The sequence below is a fragment of the Homo sapiens genome, chromosome 19 (assembly GCF_000001405.40).
Source record: "Homo sapiens chromosome 19, GRCh38.p14 Primary Assembly".
Lineage (NCBI taxonomy): Eukaryota > Metazoa > Chordata > Mammalia > Primates > Hominidae > Homo > Homo sapiens.
This window is the reverse complement of record NC_000019.10, coordinates 49,335,406-49,347,952: the sequence shown is the minus strand read 5'-3', so window position 1 is coordinate 49,347,952 and position 12,547 is coordinate 49,335,406. Positions and strand designations below refer to the sequence as shown.

At 55.8% G+C, this 12,547-nt stretch overlaps 3 protein-coding genes across 49 annotated transcripts in view, besides 3 other annotated features; 2 read left to right on the top strand and 1 right to left on the bottom strand.

Moving 5' to 3' along the window:
• The window catches only part of TEAD2 (TEA domain transcription factor 2), a 21,822-nt gene extending 14,464 nt beyond the window's left edge, over window positions 1–7,358 (top strand). For 29 of the 40 annotated variants that reach the window (NM_001256662.2, XM_047439541.1, NM_003598.2 and 26 more), the window contains 4 exons: window positions 590–763; window positions 4,555–4,722; window positions 5,363–5,515; window positions 6,516–7,358. In NM_001256662.2, the coding sequence (NP_001243591.1) occupies window positions 590–763; window positions 4,555–4,722; window positions 5,363–5,515; window positions 6,516–6,629 (609 nt within the window). In that variant the 3' untranslated portion in view covers window positions 6,630–7,358. The remainder of the gene's footprint in view (window positions 1–589; window positions 764–4,554; window positions 4,723–5,362; window positions 5,516–6,515) is intronic. The other 11 variants (XM_047439538.1, XM_047439537.1, XM_047439535.1 and 8 more) reach the window with 1 other exon arrangement.
• Window positions 4,765–4,864: an enhancer, noted in NCBI's record as "active region_14936". NCBI's record gives its function as "activates an Ori minimal core promoter by ATAC-STARR-seq in GM12878 lymphoblastoid cells {active_cell/tissue: GM12878}" and the evidence as "EXISTENCE:reporter gene assay evidence [ECO:0000049][PMID:35858748]".
• CD37 (CD37 molecule) lies at window positions 7,347–12,547 on the bottom strand. 5 transcript variants are annotated; one of them, XM_005259435.4, is made up of 8 exons: window positions 12,344–12,547; window positions 12,167–12,239; window positions 10,920–11,044; window positions 10,732–10,806; window positions 9,924–10,028; window positions 9,017–9,253; window positions 8,540–8,623; window positions 7,347–8,295 (listed from the first exon to the last, which is right to left on the bottom strand). In XM_005259435.4, the coding sequence occupies exons 1-8, from the start codon at window positions 12,410–12,412 to the stop codon at window positions 7,966–7,968; spliced, it is 1,098 nt and encodes a 365-aa protein (XP_005259492.1). In that variant the 5' UTR covers window positions 12,413–12,547; the 3' UTR covers window positions 7,347–7,965. The 5 variants fall into 5 exon arrangements, with proteins under 5 accessions (XP_005259492.1, NP_001765.1, XP_011525844.1 ...); NM_001774.3 differs by having other exon boundaries at window positions 7,347–7,702; XM_011527542.4 differs by having other exon boundaries at window positions 12,378–12,547.
• Window positions 7,514–8,489: an enhancer, noted in NCBI's record as "H3K27ac-H3K4me1 hESC enhancer chr19:49842721-49843696 (GRCh37/hg19 assembly coordinates)". NCBI's record gives its function as "activates a minimal SCP1, AML or CMV promoter by ChIP-STARR-seq in naive H9 embryonic stem cells {active_cell/tissue: H9 hESC(naive)}" and the evidence as "EXISTENCE:reporter gene assay evidence [ECO:0000049][PMID:30033119]".
• The window catches only part of SLC6A16 (solute carrier family 6 member 16), a 50,693-nt gene continuing 45,768 nt past the window's right edge, over window positions 7,623–12,547 (top strand). For all 4 annotated transcript variants that reach the window (XM_047438703.1, XM_047438702.1, XM_011526860.3 and 1 more), the window contains exon 1: window positions 7,623–7,722. In XM_047438703.1, the coding sequence (XP_047294659.1) occupies window positions 7,718–7,722 (5 nt within the window). In that variant the 5' untranslated portion in view covers window positions 7,623–7,717. The remainder of the gene's footprint in view (window positions 7,723–12,547) is intronic.
• Window positions 12,317–12,436: an enhancer, noted in NCBI's record as "active region_14935". NCBI's record gives its function as "activates an Ori minimal core promoter by ATAC-STARR-seq in GM12878 lymphoblastoid cells {active_cell/tissue: GM12878}" and the evidence as "EXISTENCE:reporter gene assay evidence [ECO:0000049][PMID:35858748]".

Genomic DNA, 12,547 nt, shown 5'->3' with positions numbered 1-12,547 from the left:
AAGCGGCCTGGGAAATGTAGTTTCACACTGTGTAAAGGAACCAGGATTTGTGAACACGTAGCAGTCTCTGCCACACCATATAAACATCAATCAAAACATCAACCACAAGACCTCTGTGGATTCCCATTCATTCACTCTTCCATCCATTGACCATTTATGAGCACCTGTTCTATATAGGACCAGGCCTAGGGGGTGTGAGCTTTGCCCTGGGGCTGCTGGGGAGCTATGGGAGGGCCATGACCAGGGGAGGGTCAGGGGCAGGTCTGGAGCCACATGAGGGATGAACTGGAGAGGCGAGGTTGGAGGCTGGGGTGAGGGTGGGAGGCCTGAGGTGAGGCTGAGGCAGTGAGGATGGAGTTGGGGGAGTTGTGGCAGGGAGTTGGGGACTGTAGGACTGCAGGGCTGCAGGGGACTGGGTGCAGAAGCAGGAGTGGGGACGATGGGTGGCAGTCAGGCCCAGTGCTGGGTGGACTGTGTGGAACAGCTGGCCAGAGCTGTGGGGATGGTGACGGCATTTGGTGGGCTCAGGCAGCACAGGCTGGAGATCCAGCTCACCTCCGACTTCTCACCCACGGCCAACCCTCCTCAGTACCAGAGGCACCTGTTCGTGCACATCAGCCAGCACTGCCCCAGCCCCGGAGCGCCGCCGCTCGAGAGTGTGGACGTCCGGCAGATCTACGACAAATTCCCTGAGAAAAAGGGTGGCCTCCGAGAGCTATATGATCGTGGCCCCCCCCATGCCTTCTTCCTGGTCAAGTTCTGGGTGAGTTCTCACAGCAAAATCAAAAGTGCTCACAAATCCTGTGGTGTCCCAGCAAAGGCCTCTGGCCCTGAGAGAATCTGTCGCGGGCCCTACCAGGTCAGCCTGGGACTTACCAGTCAGTCCTCATGGCTTGGAGTGTCAGCCCCCTTTGCAACAAGGAACACCGAGGAGGCCAGCCCCCAGGGTGGGTTGGAGGTGTCTGGGCCTCCCTGGATCCCACTAGACATTGCCACATGTAACTAATACGGTGAGTTACCTGGCCATGTAGCTAATAGGGTCCTGGGCATGGGCTTGCCATGTTCCAGGCTTCCCTGTGCCCCACCTGACTGCACCAAGCCGTGCTGCTAAGGAAAGACCCCTCCCCGTAGCCAGTGGACTTGTGGAGACTGGTTTCTAAAGAGGGGACTGATGCTTTGCATCAGTTTCACCAGACCTTGTTGCTAGAGAATGTCTGGCTTTGAGGAAGTGATGAAAAGAGCCATGGAGTGGCTTTGCCAAGTCCTGTATTCATTTATTTGTTTATTTATTTATTTTTGAGACATAGTCTCACTGTCACCCAGGCTGGAGTGCAGTGGCTGTATCTTGGCTCACGGCAACCTCCGCCTCCTGGATTCAAGCGATTCTCCTGCCTCAGCCTCCCCAGTAGATTGGACTACAGGCACCCGCCACCACATCTGGCTAATTTTTGTATATTTAGTACAGACGGGGTTTCACCATGTTGGCCAGGCTGGTCTTGAACTCCTGGCCTCAAATGATCTGCCCACCTTGGCCTCCCAAAGTGCTGGGATTACAGGTGTGAGCCACCGCACCCGTCCAAGTCCTGTATTTATGTAGCAATCATTTATTGAGCACTTCCTATATAGACGCCTGGTGTCAGCTGCTATTTATATGATTGGGACTAAGAGGGCCCATCTTGCGTGTTTCTTAGGGCTACTTGGTTTGGTGTCCAGTATGATGACTAACACTACAGGGGTTCAATAAATGTGTTTTATTTTCTTTTATTGTTTTTTTTTTTTTTTTTTTTGAGATGGAATTTTGCTCTTGTTGCCCAGGCTGGAGTGCAATGGTGCGATCTCGGCTCACTGCAACCTCTGCCTCCTGGGTTCAAGCGATTCTCCAGCCTCAGCCTCCCAAGTAGCTGGGATTACAGGCATGCACGACCATGCCCAGCTAATTTTTGTATTTTTAGTAGAGACGGAGTTTCGTCATGTTGGCCAGGCTGATCTTGAACTCCTGACCTCATGTGATCCGCTCACCTTGGCCTCTCCAAGTGCTGGGATTACAGGCATGAGCCACTGCACCTGGCCTAATTTTTGTATTTTTAGTAGAGACAGGGTTTTACCATGTTGGCCAGTCTGGTCTCGAACTCCTGACCTCAAGTGATCCACCCACCTTGGCCTCCCAAAGTGCTGGGATTACAAGTGTGAGCCACAGTGCCTGGCCTGGGCTCAATAAATGTTGCCTGGATGTTTAGGGGGTGCTAGTTCTTATAGTAACAAAGGTGGTGGAGGGATCTAGTCTCTGAGAAGAAAGCCTGGCTAGGTGTGGTGGTTCACTCCTATCTTCCCAGCACTTTGGGAAGCTGAGGCGAGAGTTTCGCTTGTGTTCAAGAGTTTGACACCAGCCTGGGCAACACAGTGAGACCTCAACTCTACAAAAAATGAAAAAAATTAGCTGGGTGTGGTGGTGCGCACCTGTGGTCCTAGCTTCTGTGGAGGCTGAGGCAGGAGGATCACTTAAGCCTGGGAGGTGGAGGCTGCAGTGAGCCAAGATTGTGCCACTGCCCTCCAGCCTGGGTGACAGAATGAGACCCTGCCGAAAGAAAGAAAGGAAGAAAGGAAGAAGGAAAGAAAGGAAAGAAAAGAAAGAAGGAAAGAAAGAAGGAAGGAAGGAAGGAAAGGAAGGAAAGGCCTGCTGAGGGCCTGAACTTTACTGTTCTTGCTGGGAGTGTTGTTGTTCTGGAGCTTGCTGTTCACGGTTCTGGAGCTTTCTGCCATGTGAAGCAGAAGCCTGAAACTGCTCTGGGGATGTGCAGCTGAGGGCTTAGACATTGTTGGGGCTTAAGACAGGCCTTATCAGGTCCCAGGACTGGAGAGCCACCCCCTTAGGAAGCCCAGCTGCTGAAGGGGTTCAGAGGAGCAGCTGGTAAGGTCTTTGGTTTTGCCACGGTGAGAGATGGAGTCGGGCCCCTGAGAAGACGGACCTGGCACAGTGTTAGCAACTAAAGTTAGGAAGAGGAAGAGGTGCGCCTCGCAAGGAGGTGACTCAGACCAAAGGTGTGATGAGCTCTTAGGCTTCCTTAGGCCCCACTTGGCCTAGTGACACTTGGCCAGCTGTCTACACACACTTGGCCACTGGGGTCATGGAGGGAGTCTGACCTCTCAGATTTGGCCGAGGGGGAAGTGCTCTGAGGAGGAGTCAGGCCTCCTCAGGCTCCGTGAGGTCCCGTTGCTAGGGAGTAGCCACTTGCCTTAGCAACCAGAGTGAGAGGGGCTTAGAGGGAGGTATTCATCTTGAACTGGTTGCTAAGAAGTAACTGCCATAGTAACCAGGCCCTTGGAAGGGGCTGAACTCTTGAGTTGCGGGCTTCAAGGGAAAAAGGTTGAATTGGCTGGACACAGTGGCTCATGCCTGTAATCTCAGCACTTTGGGAGGCCTAGGTGGGTGGATCACCTGAGTTCAGGAGTTTGAGACCAACCTGGCCAACATGACAAAACCCTGTCTCTACTAAAAATACAAAAATTAGCCAGACATGGTGGCGTGCGCCTGTAATCCCAGCCACTTGGGAGGCTGAGGCAGGAGAATCGCTTGAACCCGGGAGGCAGAGGTTGCAGTGAGTCAAGATCGCGGCATTGCACTGGGCAACAAGAGCGAGACTTCATCTCAGAAAAAAAAAAAAGAAAAGAAAAAAGGTTGAAATTGAATTCCAGGGCTCCTTTGGTTACTGGGGAGACAGGGCCAAGACTGTTTTGGGGACCCAGACTTCTTCAACGCTGATGGACGGTGGATCTTCTCCAGAAACCAGCCCTTGGAGAACTTTGAAAGCCTGACGCGGTGGCTCATGCCTGTAATCCCAGCACTTTCGGAGGCCAAGGTGGGAGGATCGCTTGAGCCCAGGAGTTGGAGACCAGCCTGGGCAACATGGTGAAACCCTGTTTCTACAAAAAATACAAAATATTAGCTGGATGTGGTGGCATGCACCTGTGGTCCTAGCTACTCAGGAGGCTGAGATGGGAGGATCACTTGAGCTCAGGAGGTCGAGGCTGCAGTGAGCTGTGATTGTACCACCACACATTGCCTGGGTGACGGAGCAAGACCCTGTTCCCCCCCCCCCAAAAAAAAAGACAAACAAACAACAAAAAAACAAAACAACACTGAAGAATCAAGCCGGGAACTGCAGGGGTAATGGTAGGCTATGGGGCAGAGTCCCCACTGTGTTTTTTTTTTTTTTAAGATGGAGTTTCGCTCTCGTTGCTCAGGCTGGAGTGCAATGGTATGATCTCGGCTCACCGCAACCTCTGCCTCCCGGGTTCAAGTGATTCTCCTGCGTCAGTGTCCCAGTAGCTGGGATTACAAGCATGCACCACCACGCCCGGCTAATTTTGTATTTTTAGTAGAGATGGGGTTTCTCCATGTTGGTCAGGCTGGTCTTGAACTCCCAACCTCAGGTGATCCGCCCGCCTCGGCCTCCCAAAGTACTGGGATTACAGGTGTGAACCACTGCGCCTGGTAGTCCCCACTGTTTATAAGGGATGTCCCCTCTGACTCATCTGTGCCTTCCCATCTCCCAGGCGGACCTGAACTGGGGCCCAAGTGGTGAGGAGGCAGGGGCCGGTGGCAGCATCAGCAGTGGTGGCTTCTACGGAGTGAGCAGCCAGTATGAGAGCCTGGAACACATGACCCTCACCTGTTCCTCCAAGGTCTGCTCTTTTGGCAAGCAGGTGGTGGAGAAGGTGGAGGTGAGGCTGGAGGGGTGGAGCTCTGGGTCAGCACTTGGGGGTGCAGAATGGACCAGAAGCCATCATGACTCAGGCATTTGGGAGTATGCATGGAGGGAGTGGGTCCCAGCCTCTTTGAGGGTTTAATGCATGCGTTGGGAGCTAATGGGCAGTTCAGAAGTCACAGGCAGGGATCATTCTGCGGGCTGACAGGTAATGTGTAGTATAGAGACTTAGAGTCACTGAGATTGAGAAGGGTCTTATGGATATGGAGAGGTTCTTAGGGCAAGAAGGTTCAGAAGTCACACTTACAGTTGCTGGAGACTTGGGGAAGTCTCAAGTTTAGAAGTCAGAGTTTGAAGACGTCATGGAGGGGTCTTTGGAGGGTATCTGAGGGCTGGGAGGTTAGAGGAGTCCAGAGGTCTTTGGGGGTTCAGAGAATCACTTTGAGGGGCTTGTGATTTGCAGGCTCAGAGATCCTGATTCGGATCTCCGAGGGTTCAGGCCCAGTCTCCAGTCACTGTGGGTGGGGTGATGAAAGGAAGGTGGCAGTGAGAGTGAGTGTGGTGGCATCTTAGAGGCACAGGGTGGAGCTCAATTCCTGGGGTGACCCGTGGGTCTCTCAGCCACCATTTTCCCAACTCCCTTCCCCTTGGTTCAGACGGAACGGGCCCAGCTGGAGGACGGCAGATTTGTGTACCGCCTGCTGCGCTCGCCCATGTGCGAGTACCTGGTGAATTTCTTGCACAAGTTGCGGCAGCTGCCTGAGCGATACATGATGAACAGCGTCCTGGAAAACTTCACCATCCTCCAGGTGATGCCTGGGGCTGGGCTGGAGTGGGGCCCCCCAGTGTGGAGGGACAGTACCTATAACAGACCCTCAGTCTAGGGGATCTCCTCACCCAGGAACTGACACAGCAGGGACTCCAAAGTGAGCCCTCAGCCTGAGGCTCTTTTAACTAGGAAACTGATGCAGCGGGGACCCCACCATTGACCCTTAGTTTAGGGGACCCTTCACCCAGGGTGGGGATGTCACAGCACTCTCTCTCTTTTTTTTTTTGAGATGGAGTCTCGCTCTGTCGCCCAGGCTGGAGTGCAGTGGCAAGATCTCGGCTCACTGCAACCTCTGCCTCCCGGGTTCAAGTGATTCTCCTGCCTCAGCCTCCCGAGTAGCTGGGATTACAGGCACGCCCCACCACGCCTGGCTAATTTTTGTATTTTTAGTAGAGATGGGGTTTCACCATGTTGGCCAGGTTGGTCTTGATCTCCGACCTCAAGTGATCCACCTGCCTAGGCCTCCCAAAGTGCTGGGATTACAGGTGTGAGCCACCACGCCCAGCCCCACAGCACTCGCACATAAGGTGGGTCCCTCCTTCCCTGGTGAAGCTGACTGGAGGGCACTCGAAGGCAGATCCTCAGCTTGTCAAGGAACATGATATGGTGGGAGCCCCTTTAACTTTTTGGACTGCTGAGGCAGAGACCCCTTGACCGCGGAACCTGCAGGGAGGGTTCTCCCTTTACTTGTGACATGATGGGGACCCCTTTTACCCAGGGAATGTGATGTGATGGGAACCCGATTAACCCTGAGATGTGATACACCATAACTGCCAACGCTCAGCTGAGGGGTAACCCCCATTGCCCAGGGAACTGACTTTTGGGCATCCCTTTCTCCTGGGGAACATGATATGGTGGCGGCCTGTTTCCTGGAGATGGAAAAGAGCCTGCTGGGTATTCCATGATAGCTTGGCAGGGGGGCACAGGGGTCCCTGCCCTCCCTTCTAAGCATAAGTCCCTTGTCCTGGCCTTCCTGGCAGGTGGTGACAAACAGAGACACCCAGGAACTGCTGCTCTGCACCGCCTATGTCTTCGAGGTCTCCACCAGCGAGCGTGGGGCCCAGCATCACATTTACCGCCTGGTCAGGGACTGAAGGGGGACCCCAAAACTGGCTCACCCCCCAGAACACCCTCCTCCCAGGGAGGGTCCTCCAGCTCACCTCATGCTTCTTATTTGGGGAGAGGGCTGTGATGTAAAGGGGTTGACCTCAGAGGCCTAAGCAACTGGGGCCATCCCCCCCATTAGAGGGGCCCCCAAAACTTGGTTGGAGAGCTGAACAGGCTGGGACTGAGGAAAGGATAAACCCCGATATTGGGACCTCACAGTGGGTGTCTGAAAGGACAGATCACTCCGGAGTATCAGGGATTGTGGGGACAGGAGTGAGACAACCCCCCAGGTACAGCACTGGCTTTTCTTTTCAGCCCCTGACAGGCCACCCCCACTCCTCTGCATGTCTTGGAGAGCGCTAGTTACACATTGGCTTGTCCCCTTTACTTTTTCCCAGCCACCCCTCCCCCTGAAATTTCTGCCCCTCTCTACCACCCTCACTCCATGACCTGTGAGATCACAAAGTGAAGATGAACCCTTTCTGTGCAGGAGCAGAGCCAGGTGGGCCCTGGACATTTTTTTTTTTTTTAATATAACGAGATATTTATAAGTGGGTGCTAGGGTCTTGACTTTATCTCCGCTGCACAAGCAGTGTGTTGAACTTTCTAATCTCATCCCTCTCCTAAGTGAGCCCTGAGCTAGACGGTTTCCTTCCTCCCCTCTCAAAGTTTGTTTGTTTGTGTTCTGACAGAGGATAAAGCTATTTTACCAAAAACGCAGGGGATTTATTTGAGGTTTGGGTGAAAAATAATCTTGTGGGTGGTGGTAGGCCGACAGATGGGGACAGGAAGCTGTGGACGAAAGCCCCAGGTCCCGTGGGAGAGGTGACAGCAGCAGGGGCACGCAGCCACGTGGGTCCCCAGGGGAATGTGAAGGCGGAGGGCTCCAGGCGAACTGGGGATTAAACAAATATTTACAGGCAGCAGGGAAGTGCCCAGCGCACGTGACGGGGGCGGGGCGGGACTTTGGGGAGGGCGGGGCCTAACGGTATCGAGCGAGCCGGTTGTAGACGTGGTCCAGGTTTCTGCACAGGAATATCGAGAGCGTCATGAACCCGAGCTATAGAGAAAGGAGATGAGGTCAGAGAAGTCGAAGGGGTGCTGGCGAGACGGGGGTGATGCCCACCCGGGCGAGAAAGGTCAGGGGTGGGGCCGTGAATTGGGCGGGAAGGGGCTGGAGAAGGGGATAGGTAGAAAAGGGCGGGGCTCGACGGGAACTGCCGCAGGGCTGGCTGATGAGGCGGGAATAGCTGCTACAAGTGGGGGTAGAGGCTGAGAAGGAGTAAGGTCGGAAGCAAGCCCAGGGTCCTTTATTTTGGAGGCTCATCTGTCTTCCCCCTCTGCCTCAGCCTCTAATTGTGCCTCCTCTAATTCTGCGCCCGCACTTCCAGTGTCAGGCTGGTCCTCGTCTTGAACCCACAGCGGCCAGAGCCCCAGGGCCATGGGCAGCTTGCCCTGCGGTGCCTTGTCTCCCCAGTTGGGGCAGGCACCCGCCATGCCCCAGCCACCCCACAGACTGCCGCTGTGCCCGCCGCCGCCGTCAGCGATCAGGCTGGGCCCGGGGCTCGAATCCCCAGCGCCCGGCACGTGCGGCTCGCATTTCCGGCGGAGTGCCCTGCGCTGTAGCTGTACGCTCAGCACCATGACAGTCATCTGCGGAGAAAGGGGAGGGAGATCGCAGCCAATAGCAGGAGGCTTTCCCTGCGTACACCCAATCAGGGCTCCCTGAAGCTGGGCCGCCCCCACCCTCCGGTGCTGGGTGGAGCGGCGGGAGGGCCGGGGTGGGCTGCGCTCCGCCCTGAGCTCGTCCTTCCCAGGCAACCGAAGGACGCGAAATGAAGGGCAGGGCCATCTAGGGATTTAGGGCCGATCGCGGGTGGGGGCGGGGCCAGATCACCTCGAGTAGGCCGACGCCCAGGCAAATGCCCACTATGGAAATAAGGTTGTTGTGCAGCCACTTCTGGAGGCCCTGCGCGCAGCCCTGGGGGGTGTAGGGAAAAGTTAAAGGGATTCTTTCTGGGACTCTCAAGCCCAGGCCCAGCGTTCTTTTCAGGCCAACCCTCACCGTCTTCAGGCATCTACCCGCTCCCCTAGTCACCAGGGCACTCTAGTCTCCTTACTAGTGCACCCTCGCTTCACCTTTTCCAAGCCTGGCCCCTCCCTAGACATCTGTATTCCAGAGCCAGCCCAGCCTTTTCTTTAGGCCCTGCCCTTCCTGCAGACCCCGCCCCCTTCAGAGGGCCCCGCCCCTCCTGCCGTACCTTTCCTTTTCTCGTAGACCCCGCCCTTTCTCAGGCCGCTACTCACTGACAGCCCTCCCCCTCCCGCAGGCCCCGCCCCATTCGACAGGTTTATGCTCCGAACCCCTGCCCACCTCGCGGTAGATGTGGCTCTCTGCAGGGACAGCGCAGATGTCTGCACTGTGTCTGGACCGCGCCAGGTGTCCAAGCCTGCTGAGCTGGGGCAAGATCACCTTATCTAGGATTGTGGAGTCGTTGGTCGCCGACAAGTTGTAGCAGGAGCAGGGCACGCGGTGCGCCTCCGACCCGTTACCTCTCAGGATGAGGACTTGGAACCAGTCCTGCGGGTAGTGCCAGCCGCAGCAGCGCAGCTGGGAGAGGGATACGAGTCAGAGGGACCGGGACTGGAGACATATGATGTTGGGGATCAGGGGACAAGGTGATGGGTATGAGGTCAGGTCGGGGAGCAGGGGACTAAGTGGTGGGTGTGGAGTGGGGGACAGTGGGCTGGGGTCACGATGGGGCCGGAGCCAGGGGACATTACGGGAACATGGGGCTGGGAAAGACGAGTCACGGGGTGACCTGGGGCTGGGGAAGGAGCTGCAGGGTCGCGCTGTGGACTAGAGATTGGGTGGGTGGTGCAATTGAGCCTCTGATACCCGACAGGTGAATAGGAGTGCGAGACCATGTGAGTCTCATCGGGGGCGGGGTCCGGTGGAAGCCAGAGTCACTACGGGGTAGGAAGCCGTGTCTCGCTAGGGTCTTGGGACTAGGGGCCTGACAACCTCTGGTCGGGGCGGGGGCGGGGGCGGAGTCTCTCGAGGTAGATGGCGAAGCCACGCCAGGGTCTGGGTACTGGGAGACCAGGCGACGCCGGGGACAGTTGTGTCATCTGGGGAGTGGGGAGCGTCGGGCCTGGGAGGGATTGGGGTGTGTTAGGATCGTAGAGCTGGGGGTCGGGCCCACGTTGGGGTGGAGTCTCCTCCAAGCACAGGGCTGAGGCGGGTCAGTCCGGGAGGGAACTGGAGGAGGGGGGCTTACCTGGAACTGCACATAGTCCCAGCTCTCCTCGGCCGCGGTCTCCTCGGGGTTGGTGCCGTACTTTTGGATGGTTTTCTCTACGACGTCCCGCAAGCTTCGCTCCAGCTGAGAGGCCACCAGTGAGGCTGGGCCTTATCTTCCCCGCCCCACCCCTCCCCCTCTCAGGCTGTGCCAGCCTCAGGCGGGCCCTGTGCATCTCTGGGCCAGTCTCAAATCCTTACTGAATGGCTAGCTCTGTGTACTTCAGGTCTGTCTTTCTGTTTCTTCCACTATTTCTACGGCTCATAAGTCTCTGTCTCTTCTTTCAGGGCGTCTATTTCTTTCTCTTGTTCTCTCTTTTTCCCGTGTGTTTCCCTTTGGAGCTGTTTATGCCTGTCTCCCTTGGTCCAGGTCGGTGTGTCTTTCTATTAATTTATTTTTTGAGACAGGGTCTCACTCTGTCACCCAGGCTGAGTGCATGGCTCACTGTAGCCTCAAACTCCCTGGCTCAAGTGATCCTCCCACCTCGACCTCCCAAGTAGCTGGGACCCCAGGTGCACACCATCACACCCGGATTTTTTTTTTAAATATAGATGGGGTCTCACTATGTTGCCCAGGCTGGTCTCAAACTCCTGGACTCCCACCTCAGCCTCCCAAAGTGCTGGGATTATGGGATTACAGGCGTGAGCCACCAGGCCCAGCCTCTTATTTCTCTTTATCTAGGTTAGCCCCTGTCTGCCCTTGTTTCGGTCTCTCTCCACCCTCTCCCACCACTCCCTTCCCTCTCCTCCCTGCTGGGGGTGGGTGGTGGCCACTGCAGGAAGCTCACCTGGGCCCGCTGAGTGGAGATGAGGATTCCCAGGGTGATCTGTGTGGCAAACAGGAGCAGCAGCATCCCAAAATACTGGGGAGCAGAGTGGAGAGATCAGGCTGACCACCCCTGCAACCCCGGCCCAGGCCATTTTTGAGGGTGGGGATAGGAGTGTTCCTAGGGACGGAGAGGGATGGTGCACTCACCAGGCCCAGGAGGCAGCGGAGCTCCTTGAGGGCCCCCACACAACCCAGGAGGGCGATGCCCATGGTGAAGATTCCTGAGATGGCCAGGACTTTGGACCAGATCTGCAGAGGCACGAAGGCCAAGCCTGGGAGAGGTGAGGGGAGTGATGATGAGCTGTGTGGCACAGCTCCAGGCAGCCCCATTTCCCACCTAGGCAGCCACCCAAGTGGGGAGCAGTATCTTGGTGCCCCTCTCTCTGGGACTCTGTCCCTGCCCCACCCTGAGTCCCTGTTTCCTTCTGAAACTTTCTCTTCTTTCTGGGCCTGTTTCCCGTCCCTGGATCTCTGTCTCTCTTCCTCTTACCCTCTCCTTCCTCCTTCAGCTCCTCCTCGTCCCCAGTAGTTTCAGCCCTATCACTTGTTCTGTGACATTGGCTTGGCTCCTTAAACCTCCCTGAGGCATAGGAGATGATATCTATTTCTTAGGGTTTTTTTTTGAGTTGGAGCCTCGCTCTGTCCCCCAGGCTGGAGTGCAGTGATGTGATCTCGGCTCACTGCAACCTCTGCCTCCCAGGTTCAAGTGATTCTCCTGCCTCAGCCTCCCTAGTAGCTGCGACTACAGGCATGTGCCACCATGCCTGGCTAACGTTTTGTATTTTTGAGTAGAGACAGGGTTTCACCATGTTGGCCAGGCTATTCTCGAACTCCTGACCTCAAGTGATCCACCTGCCTCGGCTTCCCAAAGTGCTGGAATTACAGGTGTGAGCCACCGCGCCCGGCCCCTAGGGTCATTTTGAGAGACACATGAGGACATGTGTTCAACCCAGTCCTCAACACAGGGCAAAGACTTCTTAAATATGAGCGTTTAGGGTTATATTTCATTATTATTTAGGGTCATACTTCATTATTATTTTCCTATTATTAATGTTATTTTGGCTCTTTTACGTCCTTGCTGTATGACATCCATCAAGGGGCTTCCCCTCTCTGAACCTCAAGCGAGGGGAAGGTTTGTGGGGGCATCTGACCAGCCACAAGTCCCGACAGATAGGAAGTGCTTGAGAAATGGCTCTCATGATCATTGTTGTTTGTATGCACAACCCCATTTGCCGGAAGAAGACTCAGGCTCCAAGAAGCCTCCGGTGAGCAGTGGATGGGAGCCTGTAGCCTGCCTGCAGAGTAGGGCACCGTAGGTCTCCCTGAGACAAGGGAGACCCCAGGAAGTTGCTTGGGTTGGGGGAGGCCCTCCCACCTGCCCCAGCCCCCCTCACCCACAAAGGACACGAAGCTGGTCTTGTCAATGAGGATCCAGATGCCGAAGCAGAAGATCAGGCTGCCGAGGACCTGGGGAGAGGAGATGCGGATACGGGGGTGGGCCACAGGGGAAGATGAGGGCTGGGTTAGCGGCAGGGGCTGGGCCCCGGCTGGGTAGCCATGAGGCAACTCACGAAGAAGAAGAGGTTGAAAACGAAGAGGAAGTACTTGATGAGGCTGAGGCAGCTCTCCTGGGCTGACATCTTCACCTAGTGGGGTAAGCGGTCCACTCACCACACAGAAGAGGTGCTGACAGTGGGGGAGACAGGGAGAAAGAAAGAGGCTGAGAGAGAAAGAGAGACGGAGAGCTGAGAGAGAAAGGAAGAACCCCAAAAGAG